Source organism: Homo sapiens, chromosome 12, assembly GCF_000001405.40.
Source record: "Homo sapiens chromosome 12, GRCh38.p14 Primary Assembly".
Lineage (NCBI taxonomy): Eukaryota > Metazoa > Chordata > Mammalia > Primates > Hominidae > Homo > Homo sapiens.
In genome coordinates, this window is record NC_000012.12 from 79,133,615 (window position 1) to 79,145,759 (window position 12,145).

Below are 12,145 nucleotides of genomic sequence, written 5' to 3' on the forward strand. Positions count from 1 at the left end.
CCTAAACTTGGGAGAAACCAACCAGAATGAAAAAGAGATATGTATAAAAGACAATATGGAAGAAAAACCACAGAACTTAATGGCAGGTACAAGTACAAAAAAAATTAAACTTTGCTCTTGCATCCTGGTGACTGGGAAATGATTATATTGTTGACAGAAATATGAAAGTTGAACAGAGCAACCGGTTTGGGAAGGAAAAAATTATCAACACAATTTCAGAAAGTTAGGAGTTTGAAGAGATAGCAGAACTCCTGCTCTAAATCTCCAGTGAACAGGTCAGAATTGAGGAGAAAGGCCTAGATAGAATTAGAGATTTGGCAGTCATCTGTGTCCATAGATTGCAGGCTTCATATATCAGATTTTATCTGTTATTCTTGAATCTTGAAGTGCTGGTCATGTGGCAATTTTCTGCCACTCTTTCCAATAAAAAGTCCATATTCTGATTTCCCTGTGACTCAGTAAATTGCCTCAAATCTCATACACTGTTTTTCTTGTTACTGGGTGTCAAACCAAATCTGCCTTTACTTTAAGTGTAAAAGTTTTAAAACTATGTTGTGTATATGCAAACTGGATAATTACATATTCATTTACTGAGAATATGGAAGCATGGAAAAAAACTAATAAATCATTTTCCTCAATCAATGTAAGGAATCTAGGTTTACAAAGGCATATTTGAATTACTATAAAAGAAAAGGAGACCTGACAATTTCTGTTTGATTGTGAGATGTATAGCATCATCAAAATTACAAGGTAAAAGCTGAGGAACATTTTTCTGAATGCTTGAAGAATTGACTGGGTATTCAGCAGAAGCTGAATGAAAATGTCAGGCTAACAATGAAGATTTTGTACTTTATCACACCCTGATGACTGGTACATAGCAAGATTTGATCAGTTTCATAAAAGTAGGAAATTGAACTTTCAAAGACATCGCTAGTACTAGAATATACTAGAATGCTCCTTTAGTATGCATTCAAGTTTTTTAATAGTATGTTACTTGGTTAATATTTATGTCTGTCTCATCCCTTAAGTCTACCTACATTTAAATTTTATTTCTTGGTAAGTATAAAATTATTCTAAGCTTACCTCAGACACTAACAAATAAGTAACAAGGGCTCGATGGGTATCAATTCCATGCCTAACACAGGGCTGGGCATTATGAGAAGTTTAAGACATTCTAATAGAGTAGAATGGTGGTCTCCAGGGGCCACCTGGAGATGGAGAAAATAAGGAGATGTTGGTCTAAGGGTGCAAACTTTCCATTATAAGATGAATAAGTTCTGGGGATCTAATGTATAGCATGGTAACTATAGATAATAATATTGTATTGTACACTTGAAATTTGCAAAGAAAGTAGATCTTAAATGTTCTCACCACACACACACACACACACACACAAATGGTAACAATGTGTTAACTAACTTGATTGTGGTAATTATTTCACTATATATGTGTACTAAAATATCATGTTGTACACATTAAGTGCATATACTTTTTTATTATTATTATACTTTAAGTTTTAGGGTACATGTGCACAACGTGCAGGTTTGTTACATATGTATACATGTGCCATGTTGGTGTGCTGCACCCATTAACTCGTCATTTAGCATTAGGTATATCTCCTAATGCTATCCCTCCCCCCTCCCCCCATCCCACAACAGTCCCCAGTGTGTGATGTTCCCCTTCCTGTGTCCATGTGTTCTCATTGTTCAATTCCCACCTATGAGTGAGAACAGTGCATACACTTTTATTTGTCAATTATATCTCAATAAGGGTAGGGTGGGAAAGTGAGCCAGGACTTCTAATATCCTGCTAGTCAATGCATTTATAAAATGTTATTTAATTACCATGTTCCTATTGTAAAGACTCAGTTTCAATAGTTCATAAATTATTTATTCATTATTGGTGTCCCTGACAAGATAAATAAATATGAAACAGGCTTGCACTTAAGAGGGGAAAAGCCTATGAAAAAATTACAAGCTACTTGGGAAGCCTTTTGGATACTTGTAAAGTAGGTTACTCCAGATTTATTCTGTGATGAGGAAGAATGACAGACTTGGATGGTTTACAGGAGCATCTTGCTTTCGATAGTAAAAGGCACTCATTGGAACATCAGCTTATTCAACTCCATGCCTTTACTTTTAGGGCCACAGGAAACAGGGGTCAATGATGGTGAATGCGTGCTTTTTCTCTTGACAGAAGTAGGAGGATTGAAAGATTCTGGTGCCCTTAAGTGTGGTTGAATTTCTGAACAAATATGATCCTTGCAAGAGTAATTAAAATAAGCTGCTAATTAAAAGCTTTTGTTGTTTAAACTTGGAGAAGCAAATCAAAGTGGCAAGCTTTCACTCCAAGTCAACTCAGTGCTCTTTGACTCCCAGAAGGGCAGCTTGAGACAACATTGCCTAAAAATTTCTTGAATGCCTGAAAGGAGTTGGGTTGAGTTCAGCTTAGAAGTTTAGATTGGAAAAGATGTCTATGTTAGAATAAATCGTGGATTTTTAGATTTAACATTTAGATAGAAAATTACTTAATTTTGATTATTCTAAAAATAAATCTACCATTCCAGTTAGTAGAATAGACATCCTTTCAGCTACCATCTATTGAACTCTTATTAACAGTCTGGCACCTGGTAACTGCATAAGCTTAGTTAAATCTCACAGTAGTATTATGAGGTTGATAATTTAGTTATCCCATTTTTATAAAGAAGGGAAAAATAATGAAGATGTTAAGTAACATTCAAGATTCATTAGCTCACAAGAGTGAGGCTGGAATTGGAACCCAATGTACTGACCCCAAAGCCATCTTCTTTACTACCATATTTTGCCAACCTTGACCAGCTGTAAACTTGAGGAATCCCATACGCATGTGCTGGGTAAAATAGTTTCCAATTACAAAAAGACTTCTAATCTCCATTTTTTTGTACTACATATTACTATTATACTATTTTCTGTAGCTTCTAACAATATATAATACTCTAATAACGACATTGTAATTATTAATAAAAATGACTAATGCAACTCTGTAATTTTCACTTTTAACATGTTACCTAAAGCACTTTTTGCTTAAATGTTTCTTCTTGGTCAATAATTTATTGCTCTTGCTAAACTGAAAAACAATATGTTTGATGAAGTTATTTCATGTAAATGGTAAATCCTTTACATTTAGAAAAAAATCATTTCTCTTGTGTTTTTCATTAATTATAATGGCAGTGATCAATTTTAAATATGGCCTTACTTGCATATTAAAATTGATTTCCTTCCCAGTTTAGTTCTGCAAGTATTACTTATTTAGGAAACAAGAAAAATTATAAAATGTTTTTACTATTCCATGTTTGCAAGGTATGGGTAGTTATTTCTATGGGTCAGATATTTGTTCCAAAATACTATTCCTTTGCTTCCACAAACACAATAATAAAAACAGTTAGGTCTAACATTTATTATTCAATAAATTGATATGTTCCAAATACTATACTTGGAACTTTTTTTTTTTTTCCTCCCCAAGATGGAGTTTCACTCTTATTGCCCAGCCTGGAGTGCAATGGTGCAATCTCGGCTCACTGCAACCTCCACCTCCCTGGTTCAGGCAATTCTCCTGTCTCAGCCTTCCGAGTAGCTGGGATTACAGGCGTGCACCACCACGCCCAGCTAATTTTTGCATTTTTAATAGAGACAGGGTTTCACCATGTTGGTCAAGCTGGTCTCGAACTCCTGGCCTCAGGTGATCCATCCACCCCAACCTCCCAAAGTGCTGGGATTACAGGCATGAGCCACCCCACCCGGCCAGAACTTTTTTATACTTGGAACTTTATATCTATTATCTCATTAATACTCACAACCATCCTATAAAGCAGCTGACATTATACACAATAATACAAGAGCAATGGGGCTTAGATAAGTTAAATAACTCTCCCAAGTCATAAATTAGAAGAGACAAATGATTTTCTAAAACCAAGACTGCCTGCTTCCTAGTACTAATTTTTTACCCTATCAACTTGCTGCATTCAAAATACCTTTGAAAATATTAAAAATTAAACTATAAGTATAAAATAAGACCTTGAGTTCATTTAATATTTGGTTTATTCATAAACATTTTAATGCATATTTTTAAATTTTAGATGAATAGAATTTGATTTAGCTGTAATTCTATAATGCATTTCTTTACATAATTGGTATCATGTTAACTCTTTGTTAGCCTTGTTGACCTTTCCTAGCACTGGTATTCATGTATATGAGCCTGCTTTTGTATTGACAGTGGATATTTCTTCCTTTCCTCTTTCTCTGCACAAATTTCTTTGCTGTCATGTTGTTAGCAAATATTTATTCCATTCCTGCAAGCAGTCATGCATAAAAATATGATAATAGATATTCATGTCCTTTCTTAAACCCCAGCACATACCTACTTAACCATCACGTCATTCAATAATACTTATTTCACCATGACAAGAAGGGCAACATAAATAATTAATATTGATTTCCCTGATCTTGCCTCTAACCCATACAGCTTTCTCAAGTACTGATTGATAGAAAAATACTTTACCTCTGAAGCTGTCTGACATTTAAATATTTAACTCCCATCTCATAGTTCATGAAATATTACTAAAATACACAGAAAAAACTACTTAAAAAGCAGTAATTCAAACTAAAAACTTGAGAAAGCAACTGAAACCAATGAAATCATGTATGATTTTTAAAAGATACCTCTAGAAACTTAAATTCAGGGCATCAAATTTATATTTTTAATCTCCATGAAAGAGGCAAGAACATTATTGCTATTTAGTAATGCAATATTAAATGATATTTTGCTGCATTTCCCAAAGGCAGTAATAACTATTACTAGTAGTTTATTGGTTTATAAAAAAGTACTATCTTAATTCATAAATAGATTACTTTCTCTCACTTCTATTCACCTCCTGCCTTTGACCCGTCAGCTCTGCAACTTTGGGTAAATTACCTCTTTGAGCTTTCCTCACTTTATCTATAAAATGTAATGCAATTCACAGGATTAAATACAAATACACATACATATTATTTGTGTGTGTGTGCATGTGTGTGTGTGCATGCATGCATATGCATAAACAAACGATGCCTGGCATACATGTAGTAGGTTCTCAAAAACTGTGAGTCCCATCCTTTTTTTCCCTTTTTGTATATTTACATGACCTACCTGTGTACACACCTAGTTAAATACCTTATATTTTGCAAGGCTTTCACATATGGTGGGGCCAGGGTGAGGCAAGTGTGCCACTTGCCTTATGCACAAAATTTAAGGTGGTAAGAAAAAAACTCAGTAATTAAGGTGAAATAAAAATTTAGGCAGTATTTTTAAAAATCAGAATTTATCCAAAATTTCCTGATGAACAAAACCTCAAAATATTAAATAAAGGCAAGGTCCACAGGACTGGCATTTCCTTCGCCTCAGCCTCCAGTGTGGCTTAGCCCAGCTCTGCTTTCACCAGCGTTGCCTACACATGTCCCGTAGCTCTGGCCCCCACACAGAAACAACATCCAAGATGTCTGCGTCCTTAGTCGCAGGCCTCCTACATAAGGCAGCTCACAGCCTCATTCCTTATTCTCGGTTTGAGGTTGAAAGGTTTAAATCTTGAATTTGGAGATAGGAATGAAGGCAAAACTCAAGCTGAGAATTTGAGAGAAAGCAAGAATGAGAGAGTATAGAACGTCACAAAGATCTAGCAATGAGGGAGCTTCATTCTGAACTCACCATGCTTGAAAGGCTATAGATGAGCACTGTCTGTTCCCTCAGTCTGCATCAGCTTCATCCAAGAATGATTTTTGATGATGACATTGAATAAGTATCCATGTTTCTGTAATAGTTTTAGGAAGCACAAAATGAACTTCTGGTTCCTCTTAGGCTTATAAATATAAAGGAGTATTCCATAGTTATTTTATCTTCCTATTGGCCTTGAAAAAAATACCCTATTAGTTATCTAAATCCTCATCATGTGTAGGTGTAGAGTCAATGTTAATGGTACTTTTTGATAAATAAAAATGATGACATCCTCCTTCTATAATACCTATTCCCAAATATTTAAATACGCTTCTACTAAAACCAAATCATAGACTAAGTTGGAGTGCTTGGTGTTACTTGGTTTTGATTTGTTCTCTCCTGAGACAGGACACATTTTTGTCTTTGATTTACCCCAAGAGAAAGAATTGTCACCACTGGATAACCCAGTGAGCAGAATAATCAGGCCACTGAGCAGAATGAGTGAGTCATGGTGTTTCTAGTCCTCCATTACCAAATTGTGCACAAAATATATCGCAGCTGGTGCTGCCACGTATGCAGCATTTTAGGTGGGCTATGGACTGCTGGGAAAAGACCATACAAACCTATAGAAAGTCCCTGATTTATTTAACAAGTATCCTGAAATTAATGGAACAGGGGCTCTCCACAGCAGGAAAAGATAGGTAGTATATGGCCTCCCCTTTGCCCCTGGGCTCCCAGAGGGGCACACAGCTGCCAGAAACTCGCTTCATCTGAGAAGACCATGCTAATGTTGAAAATATAGCCAAGTTCTTGCTATGCCACAGTCGCTTAAAATATGAGGCATATAATAACCATATAATATTCCAGTGGCATTTAGGCTAAAAATCTGCATGCTTCCATTATAGAAGCATTTACAAACTTCAGACTCTACAGGTTCTTCTGCACACAAGAATCCCATATCCTCTTCTGGTAGATAACGCAGAATCATGTTTCCCTTTACTGCGTATCTGCCTTTAGAATTCTTGTGTCTATAAAAAACTCTTTTCTAACAGAACACTCCTTGATACAGATTTAGTATGCCTTTACCTAGGTGCTTTCCGTATATAGTGTGATCTTAATAGTCACTTCTCTGAAATATATTGTCTTTACTGTGTGCAAACTTAAGTATTTGTTGGGGTCTTAGATCAAATGAATGTGTTTTAATCCAGGCCTAACTGACTATAAAAGACCGTGTGCTTCGTTACCATGCAGGGTTCTACAGATTGCATACATCAGAATCATCTGGAATGCTTATCAGCACCTCATTGCATCTGGTACTGAATCTTTGTCTTTGGGTATGGGGCCTAGGAATTGTTAGTTTTACAAGCTCCTCATACATGCTGAAGTTTGGAAATCATTGCTTTAATATTATACTGCATCCTGGTTGCACTGATTCCTTCACAATTTGAAGTTCTTGTTGTCTTAGGAAGAGAAGCCTATAGGCTAACAGATTGCCAGCACCCCTGTGACCATTACTGTTTGCTTCCCTCAAAAAAACCACATTGTTGATTGGCATAAGTCCTCTAGTCACTACCTCACCCTGAGCTCAGCTTGCCGACATCTGAATGAACTGGCAGTCAAAGCCATACAGTGCCAAGAGAGTTAGCTTCCTAAGAGTTCCTCATGAAAAATGGAAGCCAGGTTTTGCCCCTTGCTTTCTATCTTGAATTTTGTTAAAACAAAAACTATTTTTATCTGTGGAAACAAGCATGTATGCCATCTGTTTTCTTTGAGATATCAAAGTTCAGTATTGTTTTTAATTCAGCAACAAATATTTATTTTGCCCTTCCATATGATGTTTATTCATACTCGTCTCCTTCACCCTACCAGCTTTATCTGATTAAATTCAGTCTATACATTGGTACATTAATATTGTCTGTTAATTTTTTTCCTAATTAAACCTAAGGAATTGTATATTTTAATATACTGTGACACTCTATGTATTCTTTATTTCTTCAAAATTATACTCCTTTGGAAATGTACAAATAATGCGTATTTGTATCTCTGCCATTTCTTAAGCTTATTATTTAGGCACATAATATATATAATATTAGACATGCTGGTTTAACTAAAATAAGCTATTCATTTTGTTTTCTTCCATTTATATTATTGTGGTTATATAGGTTAATATATTTGAAAAACATGAGAAATATATTATAATTAAATTATTTTGAATTTCATAGTCCAAACAAGTAAAACTAATGTTGTTCTAGCACTGACAATGAGACAAAGAGGAGTCATTGAATAATTAGGAAAAAGATAAAAAATATCTAGATTAGCAATGATTATTTAGACATGAAAAACAAGATGATATCTACTAAAATGTATATAAACTGATATTCAGACATATTCCACTTGTCATAATTAATTTGAGCCTTGTGTATGATATTCATTGCTTCTAATGCTCCCACAATTTTTTTCTGTCTTATGGAGCCCATATTTTCTAAGAAACGTCATAGGGCCATAAGGACACCTTGCCTTCAGATGCATAATTCATTAGGTTAAACAGTGTATGTCATTGGCTTGGGTTTCTTTCTTCAGGGTGCTGCCCAAGTGCATCAGAACCCTGTTTAACTGGCAGCAATTTGAGATGCAGAATTAGCATATTGTTTCTTGGGGAATGCCCTTGAATGTGCTTGAGTAGCTTGTTGTGTAAGGCATGAACAGAATTGCCAAGAGCCAGGGAAGAAATGGGTTCCAAGCATCATGCAGTAATCCTGTGTGCCTGTGCATATCTCAAGAAAGCTCCTCAGGAAATGTCAGATCATTGCTGAATGATTAACGCACAGACATTGCAGACCAGAGTTATACCTGGGGACTCACAGCTCACTCATATTACAGCACACCTGTGCAAAATTCCAAAGCGAGGGATCCCTGTGGTGCCAGGTAAGCGTCTCACCTTCACTACTAATGCTCTAAAGTTACAGCTGAGAAATTATTGAGAAGTTAAGCTACAACTTTGCTACAACTTGAAAACTTACATTTTTCACCTTTGTGGGGATGGAGCTTAATATATTTGTGTCCTGGGAGAGACAAAATGTAGAAATAAATAGAGGGCTGGCTTGGATAAAGTATACTAAAAATGTGACCATAAAAAGATGTAAAGAAAAACAAATCAACTTCCATGTGGACCAATCATGAGAGCTTAGAAATACGACTTTTTATTAATCTCACATGCCAAGAAACCATCCCTTACTAAAATGATGGAATGGAATATTTCCATTTGGCAAAATGCTTGCAGGTGAAGCAAAATTTAATCAATCAAATTCAAATATTAGTAAAATGAGGAGAAATAAACTCTAGGCAATTCATAATTTCATAAGAACTCTCATTTGTCTTTTGAGCAAAGAATAAAATAGCTATCATTGCTTTTAATCACTGGAGAACCAGAATTCTTTTTAGACTTCCATCACTTACTGTTGAATATGCTTGTGTATGAGTCCTCCAGTGTTCTGAACCAGAGAATAGTTTCTTTATGGGATTTGTGTCTGCTGCAGAATGCTTGGAGGAATATCATTTTTGCTTGCAGAAAATTGAAATAGGCATGGTCTATGTCTCAAGTGCATTTTAAAGTAGGAGGTCAAGTACAACTCCTTGGCAAGTGAGAAGCAGACATAATAACAAAACTTCAAACCCTAGATTGTCTTCATGTAACCTTGTGGGTCTATGATTCTAAGAAAATCCTACATTTAAAAAAAAGATGGGTGATTAGGTATAGAGAGCAATATACAGTTTTCTCTGATGATACTCCAAAAATGGATTCTTAAGAACAGACCCTGTTAAGATCTTTCCATGTTGCTAGGAGCAATTGTTACCATAGGAACAATGGTACTAGTAAGCATCATTTATACACACATAACATCCAACCCAGAAAGTGATTTAATTAAATTACCTTTACAATTATATACTGTTGTCTTTTGCAGCGTTTTCATGTGTATAGTACAACTTATTAGGCCCTCTTTTAGGTAAGCTTATGTAAATTTGCTCACTGGTAACTTTCACTGGTTTATATCCTCAACCATTTTGTTACATTGAAGTTTAGTCTTTCTTTGGCATAGAAGAAAAAAAGATTCAATATTCTGAGCTCAATTGTCATTTTTGTAGGGAACTTTGAGTCACAGCAGTGATGGGTGCTCAGCCCTGATGGGGCTGCTATAATCAAATAAGAAAATCAAAGAAAATGTTGACACTGCTGCAGATTTAGATTGTGCTTCACCCACAACCCAGTCATTTTATGTTGAGTATTATTTTGAAAACATAAAATCAGAACAAGTAGTCATCCTCAAATTCCTTAAAACATTCTTTTTTTAATTTTTCATTAAAAATCACATTCTCTGATGAAACTGAAAAGAATTCAGCTCGAGCAACGTTGGAAAATGCTCCTCTACTTCCCCCCTTAAAAGAATAGTTAATTAGACTATATTACAGATACTGATTACAGGCCTGTGGTTTGCTGTTGAAAGAATATGCTAGCTCAGGTTACAGATCTTTCTAAAGCCGAAAGAAAGAAGTATGAATTCAGGTTGTAAATTGTTAACATATTGCCAGAAAACAAATTGGGAGATGCGGTCCTCTGCTGTGATGTGGATTTGTGCCATGATTGTGGATTTCCTGAAATACTCTTAAGTAGAGAGTCTTAGGTACTGGGGAAGATAAAGCACACCACACTTGACTGCAACAGGCTTCAGCTAATGGCACATCCATCCTCACCTCCTTGATCTGTCATTTCCTCCAAAATTAGCTCATTTAGTTTACAATGCATCAAATTACTTTTCAGTCTCTATCAATAAAGTGTGCCATCTATTATTACAACTGTGGAATATACTGGCAGGCACCAGACTTATTTCTCCTGAATCTCAAAAGTGGACAGGAAAAGCAGAGTCAATAACACCTATTAGCAAGGATTATGCATTCAGCAGTGTATATAAAATACTGGGTTCTTTAAAATATAATAGAGAACAGAGCTATCAGTCCCAGGGCTCAAATCCCTTCCCTGACATTTTTCAGTAAGACGCTTCCTTTTTTACCCCACCGCCCAGAAGGGCATGTCTCAGCAGTTTCCTCAGCCCACATTGGGATAAGGGAAAGAGGCTTCTGATTTTCTGTGCAAGGACCCTTTCCAAGAGCATCCAGATGCCAGGCATCCATGGCCCAGGATGTACAATTCCCATTTACAAACAAACTGGGCTAGACAGCACCAGGAGGTAGATGGCTCTTGCAACAAGACCCATCATCTGGGTCAGCCAGTGCAACTATTGACCCGACACTAGGAAGACCAGAATACCTCTCAAACCTCTTCACACCCTGGCTCATTTCGTTTAAGAGACTTATTTCCCAAGAAATTGGCGTGGGATAAGCTTCTAATAAGCTTTCACTTTAAATTACCAATAATTCTGTTTTACCTTTTCAGGGGAGAAATACTCTTGAATCCATCTGCACTGTCAAAATCAAAACACTGTTTCATCCTATTTAGCTATAGCCTGAAGGCACTTTCTAAATTTTGTGTCATGTTAGTGTTTAACACATTCAGAGCTTGGTACCCTCAGTAACGAAGAGTTTCAGAGTCTGACCTTGCCCTGGACAATTTGTTTTTTTCCTACAAACATCATAGAAAGAGCAAGAACCTTGGTATTAGCAACTTTCTAAGCTTCAGTTTACCTGTATAGAAAATAAAGAACATCACTTTACTCCATAATATTGGAATATTAATGAGGATCAAGCTAGATAATGCATATAAAAGTACACAGGACAGCATCCAAATTACTACTCTTGTTCATTTCTACTCTTCCCTTAAATGCTTTAGATGGTAACAAATCCACTTAATATTCTGGAATGTGTACTATACATGCTTAATAATATATTATCTAATTTTATAAATCTCTATAGCTTTGACTCATCTTGATTAAAAACATATTTTTCTAATTTTATTTAGAATATTAACATTTTTAAAAAATATGAATTAACAACCTTTGTCATTTTGTTATATGTGAATTTTAAAGATCATAATCTTCATAACTCATCAGAAATATTTAAATTAATATTTATTTTTATCTGATTCTTTCTATGACTTTAATAATTTTTTATCTAATTCTTTACATGCAATAATTAGTAATAGCTAACAAGTGTATGGTATGTATGCTTACAATGTCCAAAACACCATGACCATTTTTAATGATTTTACATATTAAAATTTACTACTCATGACAACAACCCAATGAGATTGACATCATTACCAACAGCCTAGTTTTGCAAATGTGTAAATTGTGGCACAAATGTTTTATATAACTTCCCCAATATAACACAGCTAATTTTTCAAACCCAAATAGTTGGACCCCAGAACCCAAGATTTAAACATAGTGGTTTTTTTTTTTTTTTGTTTGTT

At 35.3% G+C, this 12,145-nt stretch overlaps 1 protein-coding gene across 16 annotated transcripts in view; it reads left to right on the forward strand.

The window, feature by feature from the left end:
• The window catches only part of SYT1 (synaptotagmin 1), a 588,027-nt gene that overhangs the window by 269,633 nt on the left and 306,249 nt on the right, over positions 1 to 12,145 (forward strand). The gene's annotated exons all lie outside the window — the stretch shown is intronic.